Source organism: Homo sapiens, chromosome 15, assembly GCF_000001405.40.
Source record: "Homo sapiens chromosome 15, GRCh38.p14 Primary Assembly".
Lineage (NCBI taxonomy): Eukaryota > Metazoa > Chordata > Mammalia > Primates > Hominidae > Homo > Homo sapiens.
The window spans coordinates 97,750,914-97,770,626 of record NC_000015.10 but is presented as its reverse complement, the minus strand read 5'-3'; the positions used below and the strand labels follow the sequence as shown (position 1 = coordinate 97,770,626).

General features: G+C 39.3%; 1 long non-coding RNA gene across 2 annotated transcripts in view; it reads left to right on the top strand.

Annotated features, from left to right (window-relative positions):
- Positions 1-19,713, top strand: part of LINC00923 (long intergenic non-protein coding RNA 923) — a 131,814-nt gene that overhangs the window by 103,803 nt on the left and 8,298 nt on the right. The window contains exon 2 of one of the 2 annotated variants that reach the window (NR_024172.1): positions 11,966-12,137. The exons of the other annotated variant lie outside the window; for it this stretch is intronic. This is a non-coding gene — a long non-coding RNA (long intergenic non-protein coding RNA 923). The remainder of the gene's footprint in view (positions 1-11,965; positions 12,138-19,713) is intronic. 2 annotated transcript variants of the gene reach the window in all.

Sequence of the window (19,713 nt, the reverse complement as noted above, 5' to 3'; positions counted from 1 at the left end):
ATGTTTTCTGTGCTTGGTTTATTGAAATTCCTGGACTTGTGGCTTTATAGTTTTCATTAAATTTTGACATTGTAAGGTATTATTTCTTCAAATATTTTGTTGCACCAGGTTTTCTCCATCTAATATCTAAAGCTCAAAACCTCAGTGTCATACTTAACTTCTCTCTTTGTCTTTCTTGACACATTTATCAATAACTCTTTTTTGTTTCTTTATTTAAACTATTTCTTGAATCTGTCCACTGATCTCCATTTCCACTAACACCTGCAAAATTGCAGCTGCATCATCTGTGCATCTTGATATGATAGACTCATGAGTGGTCTCTTTATTGTCCTCTCTCTTCTTCCCCAAACCGTTCTCTGCTCACATCCATTGTTTTTATTTTTCCACTGCTTGAACCCATTTAATGGTTTTGCCTTACTTTTTTTTTTAATTTTTTCTGAGACAGAGTCTCACTCTGTCACTCAGGCTGGAGTACAATGGGGCTATCTTGGCTCATTGCAACCTCCGCCTCCCAGGTTCAAGCGATTCTCCTGCCTCAGCTTCCCGAGCAGCTAGGATTACAGGTGCCCACCACCATGCCCAGCTAATTTTTGTATTTTTATTAGAGATGAGATTTCATCATGTTTTTCAGGCTGGTCTCGAACTCCTGACCTCGTGATCCACCTACCTCGGCCTCCCAAAGTGCTGGGATTACAGGCGTGAGCCACCGCACCCGGCCACATTTTTTAAATAAAATTTTTTTTTGTTACAGGATTGTCTAGATGAGAAAAGTTGCAGAGATAGTTTGGTGAGTTTCCTTATACCCTGTACCCAGTTTGCTCTATTTTTAACAACTTACATAATTATATTTTTCACAACTAATGAACTAATGCTGATATATTCAGATTTCATTACTTTTTGCCCAATGTCATTTTTCCGTTCTAGGATCCGTCCAGAACCCCACATTGCATTTAGTCATCTTATATCTTAATCTCTTCTGGACTCTGGTAGTTTCTCAGAATACCAGAGTGTTTTCTGATGACCTTGATGACAGTCTTGAGGCATAGTGGCCAGATATTTTGTAGAATTTGAGCTTAAGTTAAATTTGAGTTTATCTGATGTGTTCTCATGGTTAGTCTTGAGTTATGAATTTTTTGCGAGGAAGATCACAGAGGTGAAGTAATCTTATCATCACATCTTATCAAGGGTTCCTAATGTTAACATGACACGCCACCAATGATGTTAACTTTGATCACCCTGCTGAGGTAGTGTTTTCCCACTTTCTGCAGTGTAAAGCTACTACCCCCTCATACTTTTCTCTTTATAAGCAAGCTACAAAGTGCACCCAAACTTAACAAGCAGCAAATTAAGCTCCACCTTTTCATGGAAGGAATAGGTACATAGATTATTTGAAATTCTTCTATATGGAAGGTTTGTTACTTCTCTCCCTTTTGTTTATTTACTTAATCATTTATTTATATACATGTGGATTCTTGGATGTTTATTTCATACCTTTTTAGATTATAATCTTCAAGTAATCTACATTTTTAATCTTGTTGCTCAAATTATTCTAGCATTACTGAGAACCCTTTCATTTGGCTCCTATGTCCCTTTGACACACCCTCATCATTTTCTTTTTTGAGAACTTCTTTATTTATGGGACTGCAAATGCTCTAGGGTCATCTTGTACGGTCCCTGCTCCAGCCCTGGAATGAGTCATTTCTCCAAACCACCCTGCGTCATTTTGCTGGGAAATACTATACAAAGTCACAATCTGGGCACCCATCACATTTTGAATTAGATTCAAACTCCATTTCTTAGCTTACAAGACCTTGAAGTATTTAGTCCCATTCTGTTCTAGAAACAAGGCTTCGGTTAGTTCCTAAACCATCTCACTCTCCTTTCTGCCACAGGACATTTGCCCTTGTTCCATCTGTCTATGATGTTCTTCACTAGGCTCTTTACAGGACTGGCTCCTTGCAAGGTAAAGGTATTTACTTTTAAATAAATCCTCCCCTAATATCCTGTTGAAAGTAGCTCTTCACCTTCATTTTCTATCACAGAAGGTGTTTTTTTTTTTAATAATCACAAATATCATTACTTCATTTACTTACTTGTTTATTTGCTTAATGTCTATCCCCACATTAGGAAGTGAGCTTCATGAGTTCAAGTACCTTCTCGGTTTTACTCTTTGTGTTTTCCTAGCATCTATTATAGAGAAGATAATAAATAAGTGCTAATTAAAAGGCTTAGTCCCTCTCTTTACTGCCTCTGATGTGGATGTTATCTATGTGTTCGCATGCTTACTCTTCCTGCAACCCTTTTTTATTTTCTCTGCCTCCCATGATTGCGTAAATCTGACTTTATAGAGGCCACTTTGTTTTTAAATTATATTTAGGATTGCCAAGTAGCTTGAAATTTATTTTCCTGATCTTACAGCAAAATATTTTCAGAGCTTTGTGATTTTTTCCCCCTAGTTTATTTCTTTTGTTCTGAATCATTTCCTGTAGCACTGATAAGGATTTTGTGTTTTGTTTTGGTTTCTAGTATAGAATGAAGAAAGATTTTTAGGTTCTTAGTATTATGCTTTGTAAAAGATTGTGATTGTAGTTGATCCTACTCTTAGCAATTTGGGTGCCAATCATTGTCCTTTTCAGATCTATATTTCAAGAATGAGTTGACATGTACTATGACAAATTAGTTTCTATTTCTGCACAACAACTTACTACCAAATTCGTGGCTCAAAACAATGCACATTTACTATCTCACAATTGCCATGAATCTGGATACAGCTTAGCTGTGTCCTCTGTTCAGTGTCTCAGAAGGTCGCAGTCAAGGTGATGGCTGGGCTGCAGTCTCATAGGGAGGAATTCATTTCCAAGCTCATCCAGGTTGGTGGCAGAGTCTATTTCTCGTATGGCTGAGATCCCTGCCTTTTTACTGACTAGAGGCTAAAAACTGCCCGTAGGTTCTAGAGCCTGCCTCCTCGTCTCTACCTACTACCCTGTGGTTTCTTGCCATGTGACCCTCTCCGTAGTTCAAAACATGACTTTTTGCTTCTTCAAGGTCACCAGCAGCATCTTTCTCTCTCAACTCTATTCTTCTCAGAGCGTACCCCCTGCTGCCCCCAGCCATACACACCAGACAATCTCATAAGTTAATCTGAGGAATGACATCTTTTCTTTCACCTTTGCCGTATTGGATAGAAGCAAGTCATAGGTTCCACCTGCACTCTAGGAAAGAGGAATATAAAAAGGCATGACCCTTTGGGAGGTCACCTTAAACCCATGATTCACGGAATGACCAGTCTGTCTTAGCTCTTTGACTGACCTGGAAGTCACTCTACCACAACTGCCTGGTTATCTGTCATTCTGAATAGATAAAGTTCATGTTCTCTCTCTTTCTCTGTCCTTTTCTATCCCATTTTTATTTTTATTTATTTATTTATTTTTATTTATTTATTTTTTTTGAGACGGAGTCTTGCCCCATCGCCCAGGCTAGAGTGCAGTGGCGCGATCTCAGCTCACTGCAACCTCCGACTTCCGGGTTCACGCCATTCTCCTGCCTCAGCCTCCTGAGTAGCTGGGACTACAGGTACTCAACCACCACGCCCGGCTAATTTTTTATATTTTTAGTAGAGACGGGGTTTCACCGTGTTGGCCAGGATGGTCTTGATCTCCTGACCTCGTGATCCGCCCTCCTTGGCCTCCCAAAGTGCTGGGATTACAGGCATGACCCACCACGCCCAGCCCCCATTTTTATTTGGTCAAACTATACTCCCTAGAAAGCAATTCTTTTATTACGTTTTAGTTTTTGATTGATATGGGAATAGCATTAGTGGTGATGGACTCAGAAGAAGAATTGACTCTAGAGGCCACCACAAGCACACAGGAAAGGGATGATCACTGAGTGATCTAGGAACATTTTTTTACTTCTGAGTCCTCCTATTTCAGTCAGAAACAACTGTGACAGGGGCTGCTAATACAATATCACATTAAACACAAAATCAAGAAGCACGTATTTTTATTTATTCTCTACACCCCTGTTAAGGGATAGATGGTGTCTTTCTAGGTCTGTTGTCCAAGGATTTGTTGACAAGAGTTTATGCTTCTTTCTCCAGCCCTAATGATTCTTTTATAATTTATGCCTATCTGGAAGTCACAGTTGCCTCACAGTGACGGCAGTCGCTAATGATCCATTTACATGTGTGCTGTTACAACATCGTCAGTGCCTACTGTGTATCAGCTCCTCTGTTGGGGGAACAAAGTCGATGAAGAGACTATGATCTCAATAAATCCCTAATCTGGTGGAGAAGGAAGACTTATGAACAAAAAAGATAACAGAGAAGCTGAGTACAAGTTCTGCAGAGGACAGCAGAAAAAGGAATGTTCTTACGGGATATGGGGAACCAGGGATGTCTCTCAGGGCATGTGATGTCTGACTTGGGTTTTGAAGAAGAGAAGATCACTGAGAAGTCAGAAACCAGAAGAATATTCCAGGTGGGGAAACATAGAGAACTTACGGGCTAAATCCAAGGGTGGTTGCACCAATGTCACAGCTCTGATGGCTCTTTAAAAGTAAAATTAAAAACAGATATTTTAATAAGTCTTTTAGAGGAAGATTCCCATTTGTATTAGTTTTCTAGGGCTACCGTTACAAAGTACCACAAACTGGTGGCTTGGACCACAAAAATCTGTTGCGTAGTTCTGGAGGCCGGAAGTCCAAGATTATGAGAAGCTGGTTCGATCTGAGGGCTGTGAGGTCTGTTCCAGCTGTCTCTCCTTGGCTTGTAGAGGGCTGTCCTTACACTGTGTATTGTCATATTGTTTTCCCTCTATGTATGTCTCTGTCCAAATTTCCCTTATAAGGGCAATAGTTATATTGGATTGGAAGCCATCCTAATGACCTCATTTTTACTTAGTTACATCTGCTAAGGCCCTGTCTCTAAATAAGGTGACATTCTGGGATCCTGGGAGCTATGACTCCAATACATCTTTTTGAGAAGGTACAATTTAACCCATAACACTGCTGTAGAGGGCTTGAGACAATACCACATCAAGAGGAGGCCTCAAAGGACTTGAGATGGCTGGGGTATTGGAGAAATTCAAGGCAAGGGTAGCTTATAGGAACTCAGTGGATGCTAAACTAGTGCTGGTGTTGGAGCAAATGCAGGAGGCCTTTTTTCACTGCTTGGTTGCAACATTGCAGGGCCTGGCACATTCTAGAGACCCATGTCTATTGAATGAGCAAATAAATGAATAATAACAGATATCACTGGCAGCCAGTGGGGCTCCCTGCTGCCTTGGCCACTAAGTTCCTGGTCCTGAAGCTGGCACTGAGGAAAGGGGTGATATTGGTTCATGAATTTATTTCCCATGGTGCTGTTTCAACCAGGCACCCTGGGCTCCTTCCAATCTTCCAAACTCTCCTTGTGCCAGGAGTATCCGATGCTCAGTATACTTCCCAACTCTTTTGTGCTCAACCAATTCCTCTTCACCCTTAAGGCTCTGTCATCGGTCTTAAAATGTCTTCAACTACTTATAGTCCTTCTGTGTGCTCTCTTTTATTCCTAATTATTTTGTGTGAGACTCTTGCGTGCTTATTTAGGCATGAGCTGATAGAAGACACTGGTTTTCTTATATTTTCTCATCACTATTACTACCACCACTCCTTCTCTTCCTGCTCCTACTCCTTCTATTACTACTGCTACCACCACCACCAATACTGTCAATGGCAAGAATAGCAATGACTAATATTTGTTGCATATTTTCAGGACACCAGACACCATGCCAGATTATCTTTAACCCTGACAAAACTCTTCATGATTGACAAAAGGACATTAGTGAAATGGAAGTATTTACATATAACTCCCAAGTAAGAATTGAGCTCAAATCTGTCTGATTCCAAAGTCCATGTGGTTAACCTTCATACATGCTCGCTGGCCACTAGTAACATCAATTGGTACAGCTGTTCTTATAATTCTTACTATTACTTTTACCTCCCTGCAGCTCTCCGAGTTTACTTTGATATATTTCTTGTGACCCATTACTTTAATTTCACAATGATTTCAGGAATAATTATCCCTCATGAGGGAGTGAAAACCAGAGGCCATACCTTTGACAGTTCTCTAGAACAAATTATGGCTAATGATGGGAAGAGTCTCGTCTGTGGACAATTCAGATGTTTCAACTCTAGGATATATGATTTGGGATAAGAAACTGCTGGATAACTGCTGGCATTTTCATTTTGAAAAGTGGCGAAATAAACTTCAATATTTTAGTGTCTGTTAGAACCTCAGGAACAAGACCCATCATAAGGCAAGTACAGGACAGTCCCTAATTCAGGTGGGGCCTTAACTTTAGACTTGTGGGGTGATTTCCATATAAGATCATACCTACAGTCACAGATATATTGATAAGGTTCATGAGAAATGTTATCATTTTACTTAATTTTTAAATGTAAACTATTAATATTTGTTATAATTTTTATAAATCTATTTTGGCATTTCTCAATTAAAAAATTAAAAAGAATTAAAGTGTCCTAGGTCTTACTTGACCACTAAGAAGCCCTGAGGAGGGAGTCTAGGGAAGTCTTGCTCTTGGCCTGACCCCTGCAGAAAGGTCACTGGGCAAAGATGTTCGGTTTTGGGTTTTGGGTTATTTCTGCTGTAATGTGAGTTGATCTTTCCAGTTCTCTAGGGAGAGGAAAAGTCTTGGGTTTTCTGGCAGAAAGAGACTTTGAGAGCATAGAGTCCGACTACCTCATTCTCAGACATGCAATCTGCGGCTGCACAGCATTTGGGCCTTGTCCGCTCCCACACACTCTTGGTTGTAGGTTAGCCCTAGTCAGTCCTGGGCTGCTGTCCTGCTGTCACTCTGCCTTCTTGAGTTTCAGGGTTCAGAACTCAGACTAACTCTATACCCCATTTATGGACTTCTTTGTGGGCTGAGGTGGAGTGGGGTGCAGTAAACACATGGACCAAGGGAGCCGGAGAGGAGTTTCAGGCAGTAGCGCTTCTGAGGGCCAGTCCTCCCAGGACAGCTGATGGAGATGTATAGGTGGAGTCTTTCCCACTGGTCAAAGACAACGGTGCTCAGACTGTGGCCGTCTGTTCTTGTGGCAGATAATGGCAACACTGGTGGATAGAGCCCTCAGAGGATCACTCTGACCTTGAATCTAGCCAGGTAAGCTACTCCAGCCTCAGTTTCTGTATCCGTCCGTTGGGAATAATGGACTCAACCAGTTATTGTGAGGATAAACCGAGATAAAGCATACACTACATGGGGCCAAATAATATTCGGTTCCTTTCTCCTCAACTTCCTGGGTGTAGATTATAGTGGGAACCCTTTCTGAAGTAAAATGAAATCTATTCTAGTAACAAATGGTTACAACCAATAGCAAAGACTTCAGTCTTACCAATTTGAGACGCACGCGGCCATTTTTTCTTTTATATGTTATCATGCCACCATTTTTTTCTTTTGTATGTTACCTATGTCATCCAAATCCAGGAAAAGTCAAGAAATCACGGCTACTGTAGTTGAAACCTTAAATTAAAAATAATGACAAAATATAATCCTCAAATAATCATAGTTTTCTTATGATGCACCCGAACCTTAAAAAATAAATGTAGTCTTGACCTTCAACAAGCAGGGCTCATGGGTGCTGTATTTTTGTCTCCCATTTACCTTTAAATCCACTCTGCATAGTTCATCTGTGGTTCATCCATGATTTTGCTTATCGCTGTTAGTTTCTGCAACCACTAGAGTCACAAAAGCACTACGTCAATTTAATTATTTAAATGTCCAGTCCTGTTAATCATGAGAAAATATTCTTTCTTCAGCATTCCTCTCCTCTTCTATCTCTGTCTCACTTCATGCTGACCACTGACCAGATGGCCGGGAGGTCGGGCCGACTTCCTTCTCATCCCACGAGATTCTCTGTGCTTCCTCCTCCCTGTAGCTCAGAATGGTTATGAGGCTGACAGGATTGGAGTCATAGCAAGGAAAAGAATTAAGACCAACAGAAAAACCGGTGGGTTTTTTTTAAGAGCTGGGGTCTCATTCTGTCACCCAGGCTAGTGTGCACTGGTGCAGTCGTGACTCACTGCAGCCTCTACCTCCTGGGATCAAGGGATACTTTTCAGCTTCCTGAGTAGTTGGGAATACAGGTGCACACCACCACACCTGGCTAGTTTTACAGGTGACTTCTTACCTGACTGTTACTGACCTGGTCACCCAGCTCTGTACTCTCTGATCTTGGCATATATTTAAAATATTCTATTCTGAGATTATCCTCTATCTATCTATCTATCTATCTATCTATCTATCTATCTATCTATCTATCTCACACACACACAGTGACACACACACGCACACACACACACATCTCTGAGCCCCTCTCACCAATTGTTCTCTCTTGGTGGGTTTAATAACCCCCTGCTTCAACTGATCACTTGTGACTTCCTCGCTGCTTCCGACCACTTTCTACTGAAGTTCTCTTCTTTCCTGGTGACCCTCTGTCATGTATCTAAGGCAAGCCTAGACCTTTATCCTGTGTGGATCACAGCTGGACAACAGGAAATATCAAGGATTCATTCTCCTAACAAACTCTGGGGTGCAAGTCTGTGCCCACATAGCATCAGCCACTCCCATGTTCCGCCATCAGAGAAACCAGCCTAGGCACTGTGGCCCCAAACAACAGAGACACACATTTAAGCTATCCAGACTCACATTTCAGCTATATGCATTGGGTTACTCAAGCCTCTTTCTCCAGGAGGTAGTGATAAAGGGTTGCCAGGATTGGAGTTGGGGAAACATGCCCATTATTTTTCAATTTCAGATAAATAAGAAAAAAATAGTATAAATGTGTCCCATGCAATATTTGGGACATACTGATACTAAAACAAAATCATTCTTTATCTGAAATTCAAAGTGAATTGGACGTTTTGTGTCTTATCTGCCAAATCTATGGTGGTCAGATTCAGAAATACTCCAGGTCCTTTTATGTCCACGATCTACGTGAAGTATTAAATATTTTGCGACCAATTTTTAGCAAACTTTTTGAAAATGTTCCATCCATTCTGAGATATCGCTTTGGAAGCTGGTATTTATGGTGTCAGGCTATGGCTGAAATTTCTGTTGAAATATCCCACTGCAGTTTTAAGAAAATGCTCTTGCTCACCATTCTCAGCACCCAAACCTCCCCAGCCCTCAGGAAACCTGCATATTTAGGACATGTTGGTTCAAGTTTAACTTAGCCATTATACCAAAGACATCTTTACCTTCATAATTTGGAGACAGATTTCACAGGCAATGCTTATGCTGGAATAGCAACTCATTCGGAGGTGTCGGGATTCCTAATGTGTTAGAAATCACTGCGCTTGATTCCACTTCTGCAGCACAACTGGCTCCTGCCCAGTATTGGAGAACAGGGCGTCTAATTCACAGGGAACTAAGGCCAAGATTTCTACATACGATTGTCTTATGGGGCCAGAGCTTTTTTTTTTTTTCTTTTAAGTGGATGATATATGATACAAATATTGTTCTTAATCAAAAGTATATTAGCAATCTACCACAACTGCAGAGTTACAAGGAAGCAGTACAGCATGTTTGGAGAGGATTATTTTCACAAGAAACACGTATTCATTTCTCTGTCTGCCTTTATCAACATGTATTTATCAAAATATGGAAGCTTGTCCATGGGCCGCATTTTAATTACTCATAGGTTGCCTGAAGACAGCTGCAGTCTAGGAAGGAAGAGAGATTGAAAAGAATAAGGTGCTTTTAAAATTTGGCCATAATTGTAACTAGAGGACTCTGTTGGCTTTATTCCAAAACTCTAAGGAGCTGTCTTCCCCTAGTTTTTTTTCCTATCACTGACGTTTCCCCATGCAGCACTTACACTGGCTCTCATTGACTTAATCAGCTGTTATTATGTATATTTTTATTTTTTCTTTAGTAATATTTTCATAATAAAATTGTATAAATTCATCAGAGGAGATTTGGAACATACACCTATACAAAAAGAGAAAGAAGAATGTCTTGAATCCTACTATAAAGGCATTACCTTTTGGAAGTTCTAGAAATACTATGCATGTTATTTTTAACAAAACAGAAATCATGTGAAATATGCTATTTTGTAAATGACCTTCTTTGCTTAACTATATACCATAACATTCTTTTTATTAAATAAAATATCCATAATGCCATCTTTGGCTGTGGAGTGTGTCATCATAAAGATGCACCACAAATACCCCTTGTTGTTATATCCAACAATGATTATACATACATATTTTTTCTCATTTTTTTATTAAAAAGAAAAAAATGAAGGGAATTAAGAGTCCTGGGGGAAAAACTGGGCTGCAGTGAGGCATGAAGCTCAGGTCTTTATTATACATTCCTTGTCCTATTTGCATATGTATATAGTTTTTCTTACTGTTGAAATCACTGTGAATAATTCCATAGCAAACATTTTTGAATACAAATCTTTCTATAGAGCCGATTGGCGTGTTTTAGTATACAATTTGAACAATGGAATTTTATAGATCAAGGAGAAGCACATTTTGGGCACCTTTGAAGCGTATCACCAAACCGCTTTTTGGAAAAGCCGTAGCATTTCCCTTCCACTGATGTTCTATGAGACTGAATAATTTTCTAGAAAATTTCCTGAACCCTCATGAACATTGAGTGTTACTGCTTTGGAAATAAAAAATAAAATCAAATTTTATTTAGCACATAAAATTTTTCCAACATTTAACAGATAAGCAAAATGGATGGATTTTTTTTTAGCTCTGTTTTATTTATTTGTTGTTGAAAGTTAGGAGGTTCTCAACTTTAGCTTGTTATGCCAAAATTTTGGGCGGCCTCTTATAGACAACCTCTTATTCAAAATATGAGGGATTCTTGTTTGCATGAGTTAAAAAAACTAGGCTTCTTAGAAAAAGTGATATGGAGAGAAGCCGTACATAGGATGCCAATCATTTGTCAAACACTCTGCTAGGCATCTTCCCAAGGAAAATAACCCCATTCCAATTCAACTGCTTCCTTTTTTTTCAAATATGTCTCACAGATTGTGGTTTCCTCCATTAAAGCCACAATTGCTGCTGAGTCACAGTGTATACATAGATGTGTGTGTGTGCATGTTTGCTTGCATTTGTGCATATGTGTGAGCCCGTGTGTGTGTGTGTGTGTGTGCTTGTTTATTGGCTTTTTGGTTCTTTTCATTCTCACTAAAACAAAACAAGACAAATTTGATTTTCTAATGGAAGCCGTGTGGTGTACTTGTACACATTTTGGGCGCCCTGTGTATCTGGGAATGTGTGTGGGGTGTGGAAGAGTGGTTTTCTTTTTTTTTTTTTTTGAGACGGAGTCTTGCTCTGTCACCCAGGCTGGAGTGCAGTGGCGCGATCTCAGCTCACTGCAAGCTCCGCCTCCCGGGCTCACGCCATTCTTCTGCCTCAGCCTCCCGAGTAGCTGGGACTACAGGCACCTGCCACCACGCCCGGCTAATTTTTTGTATTTTTTAGTAGAGACGGGGGTTTCACCATGTTAGCCAGGATGGTCTCGATCTCCTGACCTCGTGATCCACCCGCCTTGGCCTCCCAAAGTGATGGGATAACAGGCATGAGCCACCGCGCCCAGCCGGAGGAGTGGTTTTCATGCCATGTGGTGCCTGTCTTGGAGGAAGCAAGATTCGGGAGACATTAAAGAATGAGCAGCCCTTTGTCTGCTTTTCTGAGTGTTTTGTCTCTGGGCTGTGTCCCCGCAAGTCAGGCATAAACAGTAGGCCCCAAAGTGAGTGGCGACTCCTCAGTAACAAACTTCCACAATGATGCACAGTTAATCAGGATCCCCTTTTGATTTCAAGCACTATTGTTAAAAATTGTTCTCTGTGCTACTTGAATTCCTATTAATCTAAGTTAATTCTTTTGAAACCTTAAATATTGTGGCATCTTAGTGTCATGGTAATCTATTTTTTTCTCTTATAGATGAGGACATAGAAAGATGAACTTAAAGCTGAAAAGTGAACTTAAAGCTGGAAAAAATGAAGCAATCTCAGCTATGATAGCTGTAATAGAAAAATGGAGTTTTCCTCAGTTTTTCTTCCTCAGAATAAATGGGATGATCCTGATGGCTGTTTAAGTGGAGAGGATTTGTTTGGTAAGCACTTCAGGATGAAGATGCATACTTTAATAGATTCCCAGATGAGGAAGCACCTATATCTATGCTTTCCATCTGCTACTTCTTTGGGAAAAAATGGAAGACAGAAATAGCAAAACTTGTAGTCGCTCCAAATACATCCTCAGATAGAGCACAAAATATAATAGACAAAAGCCCTACTAAACCAAGTTTATGTTTAATGAAAGCAAGGGCATAAAAGAAATACATAATGTCTAAAGTAGATACATCAAGAAATAGCAGTACCTGTGCAAACAACATCTTTAGAGATTATAGAAGTAACTGCTGAAAGGGAAAAATCAATGGAGTTAAGAGTTCTAGGGAAAAACCGGGTGTGGTAAAGCAGGAAGCTCAGGTCTTTCTTTCTTAAAATGTGTTTTCATTTATAATTCTATAACATGAAATATGGATTTCAAAACAAAACTTCAATGAAAGAGAATGAGAGATAGAGCAAGAGTAAGAGAGAGAAAGAGAGAGGCTCGGAAAGGTGAATGAATGAGCCTAGGAGTTTGGAGGAACTTGGATGAAGGGGGAAGAAGTAGTACAGTATAAGGAGAACAATGACCTATTACTTGGTTTCATTAGTGCAGGCTCATGATAGGAGACTGAAGCAGGAGAGAGGGGCATATAGCAGAAAACATGGAAACTTCCACCTGCTGTTTCCATTGCATTTTTGCAAGTCTTCCTGTGTGTCAGGTATGGCTGCTGGTGCTGGCCTTGGAGGATCTGCATTGGCTGCGGTCTGCAGTTAGGTCCAGACTGCCAGTCCCAGCGCCTTAGAGACCTCTGGAAATCAGGCGAGGAGACCAGCCGTCTGAGAGAGCTCCACTCTCTGGCTGCCCCTGCCAGAGTGCCCAAATAAGGTATTTTTTGAAATCAGCCTTCATTAGTGCCTGTTTCTCTTATTTCTGGTTCCCATCTATTTTATAACTTTGTTATAAAAATGTGCTGTTCCAGGCCCTAACATTTAGCCAGAGGTTGGAAGTCTTAGCTGGTTCTTATGACATGTATCAGAAGAGGATTGTTTTACTTGTTAGGTGACTTTTGGGTTTTCCTACATCAATGGACTTTTTAAACCATTGAATTTTGTTTTTAGTATTTAAAAACTCATTTATTTTAACGAAATATTGAAATTTTGGTGAATGTTCAATTTGTCTTTTTTTCCTAGTGGGAGAGATATTGACCCCTTTCTCAATGAGCTGTTCTGGATTAAGCAAAAGCTGTCAATATTGGTCCAATTTTCAGGAGTTAAAAATGAGTTATTTGATCCCAGTACATACAGGGTTTTATTAAAACTAAATAACTCTGACCTAAACATCTTCATTCTGGGTTGTGCCAAGGAACAGAAAACGTGGACTGTATACCGGAGCTGTGTCAGTCTGTGCCAGTCCCAGGATGCGCTGAGACAGGCTCAGGGACATGGTGTCACCTGCTTGATGCCTTCACGGCAAAGGGTGGAGCCAGCAGCAGACAGAGGTCCTGGCTCAGCTCAGTGGCTCCAAAAGTTGCTGCAGAGCTTGGGCGGAAGACGCAGGCTCTTTCTCTTCTCTTCTGCTTCCACCTTCTCTTTGATTCAGAATGTGGCTTCCTCCTCAATAGGAAGAATGTCTCTTAGGAGAAGATCTGAAGCCAAGATGGGGGCAGTGGGAAGGGACATTTTGCAAGAGGATTCCTAATTGTCCAAAAGCACTGAGACTCCTGCTAAGATGATGTCCTCTGGGAGCTGAGGGTCCTGCTGGAGGAGAGGATCTCCTTTGCCTACGTGAAGAGCAGAAAGGGCAGAAGATGAGCTTCAGTTGCAAATGACAATTGATTGAATGATTGTATTATTAGAACTGATACTTGTTTCGTGGTTATTTATGTCATAGATTTAATTTGTATCATATATTTGTACTAATTATTTTTATTGATGATAATCATAGGAAGAGCTGTCACATCAAGGTTTTGTCATGTGCTAGGCACTGCACAAAGCACTTGAATGACATCCTTGAAACTTTTCCCATACTGATCATACTGGAGGATGTCCAGAGAAATACAGAAAAGTGGTTTGGAGGGGAGTAGCTGATGGTAAGTTAAATAAATAATAATAAAATTAGCCAGACGTGGTGGTGCATGCCTGTGGTCTCAGCCACTTCGGAGGCTGAGGTGGGAAGATTGCTTGGACCTGAGAGGTCAAGGCTTCAGTGAGCTGTGATCCTGCCACTGCACTCCACCCTGAGCAACAGAGTGAGACTCTGTCTGAAAAATAAATAACTACACAAATAATATTGATCAATAACAGATACAAGACCACTATGAAATTGGAAAAGATAGCAGAATTAGGATACAAATGTATGACAGGCTGGAACCATGAACCATCACCAATAAGAATATATCTTAGATCACTGAATGAATGTATGGATATTTTCTTAGTTTCAAAAATACAACTGCATATGTCTATTAGGGGAGCATAGCTTAGCAGCCAGTAGCACAGATAGAAAGATCTAGGAGATTTCCTGAGTGCAAGTTATTACATGGTGTGTATAGCTGCCAAAATATTGACTGTGACCTTTGGTTGCATTGACAAAGGTAGAGCATGCAAAGGGAGGTGCTCTATCTATTCTGCGGAGTATTTTCTTTCAGATGCAGCATTTAATGAGAAAAGTATGTGAAAGAGTTTGTTCAGAGGACAGCTATCTGGCTTTTGATGGGACTTCAAACCACATCAGATGTGGAGCTAATAAAGAAAGGTAGGCTGCTTAGATTGAAGAAGGGACTGAGCGAATGAGAGGGAGAGAGAAACAGAAACAGAGAGAGAGAGAGAGAGAGAGAGAGACAGTGTGTGTGTGTGTGTGTGTGTGTGTGTGTGTTGGGTGGGTGGGTGGGAAGAGATAGGAAGGGCTTGAGCATTGCCCTCCGAATTCTGAAGAGTTTAAGAGAAAATCAGCATCCTCTTTATACCAGTGGAGGCCAAGGCAAAGCCCAGGAGGTGGTATTTACAGGTAGATCGAGTTCGGTTCAGATTAGGGAAGTATTTTCAAACATTTGGAACAACTGCCAGAGTAATGAGTTGTTCCAGTAGAGCTTTCAAAGTGTTTTCTTTTGAAAATTCCTTAATTTTATAAATTTAAACCTGTACCTTTAAATCATAATATTTGAGCAATGGTCAGTAGATGGCGGTAGGATACCATAGATTTTACCAGTGGCAGCTGGACTTTCACCCTTCAATATGCTGGAAGTAGATGATTTTTTTCTAATTATTATTGGAAGGTGTATCCTAATCTATTGTTCAGAGAGAAATTGCTGATTTGAAAAACAGGAAATAATACTTCCTAATTAAATAGACGATAATGAGTAACAAATACTTTTATGTTGCCTGAATGCTACCATGCTGTTTCTTTATTGGCCTCTAGAAATTTGTGGTAGGAAGTGTGTGTGTGTGTGTGTGTGTGTGTGTGTGTGTGTGTGTGTGTAAATGAAAGGTCTGGTTTGTTTTAAATAATTCCAAAATGTGATATACTAATTTTGTGTAAAATTTTAAAAATACATGACTGAATTGAATAGAAAATATTTCTATGAAGCATTGCATTGAAAAATCTTATTTTCTTCTTTATACTAGCACCTTTTTGTACTTAGACATTATGAATTTTAAAATAAAAGTGTGCATTCTTCATAAATGCGCTGAATTAATTATTTTTTCCTAGTAGTTTGTAAAATAAAGTTTGTTCAGGAATGGTCAGCTTGGGAGATTTTTATCTGTGTGAGATTTTTCTCTCCCTTTGAATTTTTTGGGGAATTTTGTAATAGAGGAAGGGCCTGTATTTTTAGACACACAAGCCTTAATAAATATTCTTTAAAAGTGGATGTATGTCCAAAACATGTGGAAAATAAAACATGTTGATGTTTAATTTGGAAAGAGGAAGATAATGCTGATGCCACCCCTTCCCCACTTTTTTTTGTTTTTCAGAAAGTGTAGCATGATATTCTTGTGTGTTAGGTTCTTAAGTATCTAGCATAGCAACACCTTTTTCCCATCTAACTCTGAGCAGCGTATTTAGGCTGGCTGCCTGTCTAAAAAGTTGTTTGTGGAGAGCAGTTAGTCACAAAAGCACATGTGGGTCCCTTATTCCTCTTCAATTCTAAGCAGTGAATATACCCCGGGCTTCCAGGGAGACAAATTGTTTTAATTTGCTAACATTTTGGGACTCTCCAGGACTGTGAGAAGCTAATTTCCAAGTTTTGGGACACCCCTGATAGAAGCTTAGGCAGACATTTTCTAAGATTATCTCTGAGACAAAAAAAACAGGCAAAATATCAATTTCTGCACGAGTCTCATGCAAACCATACAGTCCATTCAAGCACGTTCTTTTTCCCATTCATTTTCTCTCCCTCTTTCTCTCTCTTTCTCGCTCTCGTTTTTATTTCAATTGATGGGATCCATGAACAGAGTTGTACTCCCCTATGGAGTGAATGGAAGCTGGGAGATCAACGCCCTATCACAGAAAGGCTGTGTGACCCTCGCCAGGTCCCTGGGCTTTCTGAATCTCTGCTTAGTCATCAACAAATTTGCTCTTCTGCTGATGGAAATTTGGCCAAGAATTATGAAACGAATGTCTGAAAATTTTTCTTGTTACTCCCATAACAAAAAGCTCTATGTAAAAAGAAAGTAACGTGCTGGTATCTAGAACTATCAAAGAATTTCTTCTTTAGCTAGTAAAATAATCATAACTAATGGTCATCTATGAATTTTCCCTACAAAATCTTTATATCACCCTTTAAAGGAAAAACTCAGACAGGACTAAATGTTCTTTTTTATTTTAGCAAATAACGCTAATGTTCTTTTTCTATTTTATATACATATGTACACACACACACACAGGCCGCAAGCACACACAGACACATATATTATTCTTCCTATATGTGTAGAAACAACGTATAAAAATATGTTGTACATTTTTTTCTTGCTTCAGTGTTTCTGCATGGGTTAAAAATGTAACAAAGTAAAATTTAAGCTCTTTCATGCAAGCATTAGTTCTTTAATATATAAATTTTTATCAGTTAAGTACTGCTTTAAGGAATACTTTTTCTTGCTTTCTTTTTTTTAAAATTGAATATTATTTAATGAGAGGCTGGAATCATATGTACTTCTTTAATGAACATGTAATGTAAAACTTTTAGAGACTTGCTTTAAATAAGAAACTTGCTAAGATATCTGAACAGTTGTATACTGATTTCTAGATTATCAAATTGAAACTCAAAGGTACGTTGCGTTTTTTTAAAAAAATCTCTTGATGTGACAGAATTTGTCAGTAAGCAAATATTATGCTCATAAAACAATTTTTTGGAGAGTATCATGATAGAAGTATTGCACAGCACACAAGTTGTTCAACTTGAACTCATAAAACATCATATTATTTACTTGTCTTTTCCTTTGAAAAATAGTTAATTATTGAAGCACTGAGAACATTTTACATTCCTGGCTTGTGGTTGCGTCTTGCAAACGTGAGACTAATGAGAGCAAGTTCTCACCCCAACTCTGAACTTGCTGACTTATCTGATTTAAAATCCGAGCATTTGAACATTGGTGAGTTATTTTAAATAATGATTCTATTTTGTTGTTGCTGCTGTTTCATGAAGAGTGATTTTTTTTTTTTAATTCAACAAAGACAATGCCTTGGATCTGATGTAGGAGAAAAAGGAGTGATGGGTCTGGCAGACATCTATGGCATGTATATTTATTTAACGGTTTGCTATAATGCTTATTATTAATGATGACAATCATGAACTTGCATGCATTGTTTATTTTGTAAATACACATAATGGAGCTTTCAAAAAAGGAGATCAGCTGCCCCTTGCAACGATGGCCGTCTGCTGGGGAAGTAACTACTCAGAGACCCTTTGTGACTTGGGTTCCTGACCCAGTCCATTTCACTATTAATGCTCTTGGAACATTTTGTGAAGTCCATTTATAATTTCCCTGCTCCGAGCATCTAAAATGAACTGCAGGTCTACGTTACATCTACATGGTAGATTAGATTTGAGTATCTATAAGTGGATTTGAACACCAACAGTACCTGCAAAACTAAATATGCATTAAATGCCATGAAGTTCTGGTCATAAAATGCAAAAAGGATTTCCAAGTTCTTGGGGGATTGGGGACACTCTTCAGATAGGACATAGGTAATTTGATTAACATGCACCTTGAATCTACTTTGTTTTGATTCTGAAGAGCAGAAATAAAATGGGCAAAAACTCTACATGAAACCGGAGGCATCTCAGTTTATTTCAGTACTTTTAATTTTTATTTTATATCTTTATGGCAACTTATAAAACTTCTACTGGACATTTGGGCTTCATTTTGACCTTTCCATGCTCTTTCCCTAGATCTGAATTATTTGGCTTTAGTGAAAATGGAAGGAGTACAATAAAAAGAAGCTCAGTCCGAGGGGCACACCTATTCCTGCATTAATTCCGGATTTAATCGTGTGCTACCTGAACTCTGGGACAGCCAGCTTGGCGTTTATATATCTCTCTCATTGAAAGTCCAAAAATCCCAGGGAAACATTCGAAGGAAAGGAGAAAACGTTTGTTTTCATAAATTTTATAAACCCTGGCTCTAACAGATCTTAAAAGGGCGTCTTACATAGTGCAGAGATGCTAAATACTACATCTGCTTTAAATATTGTTGGGTGTCTCAGGCCTTTGTGGAGAGAGTTTGATGCCGTCTTTTGTTGTAGGACAACTAGTGTACTCTGTGATGCAGGGGAGTTGCTAGTTCAAAGGATACAGCCTTACTTCGGGTTTCTTTTCTCTCTTTCTTCCTTTCTTTCTTTTCTTCTCCCCTCCCCGTCCTCTACATTGTGGTTTTTGCTTGGGGGGGCTTTAGTTTTAAACATTCACATGGAACTCCCAGTCTTTCTTCTTTCAAGAAAAGACAAGCCCTTTATAATAATAATTACAAAATCTGCAGTAAGTTCTGTAAATTGAACATACATGAAGCTATATTGGCTACTATCACAACCTTTTGTCTTAAATTGGGTAAATAACTCTCAACTTTGTGCTTGTGGAATGGAAGGTATTTATAGATATTAATTACAGTCAAGCTAATTTAAAGTATCCTTTATTAACGTTCTTCTGGTTTTATGATTTTCAGGAATAATTGCAGCCACCTACACGTACAGTCTTCACATAATATTCTTAATTGTATTAAATATCTACCCGCACTCAGTTTACATAGCATTTTAATATACATCTTTTATTCAGCAGAAGTCTAAAGGCTTCTCTTTATTCAAACTGAACATTAGATCAGAAAGTGAAGAAGTCGGAGACCTAGCAATGAAAGCAGGCCTTCCCTGTTTCTCCGACAATGATTTCGGGTAGGTGACTGTGTGTTTGTTGAGAAATGGACTGGATGGGATATTGACAGTTTCCTATCAAAAGCTAGACCCTAGAGGCCTGGCTGTTTGGGCCCACACTGATTGACTACTCTTTAATAGACATATAATTGTTGACAAATACCTTCCAATAGACTGTGGCAGCGCCCAGGCAGACAAAGGAGATTTCAGAATGATAGAGACCA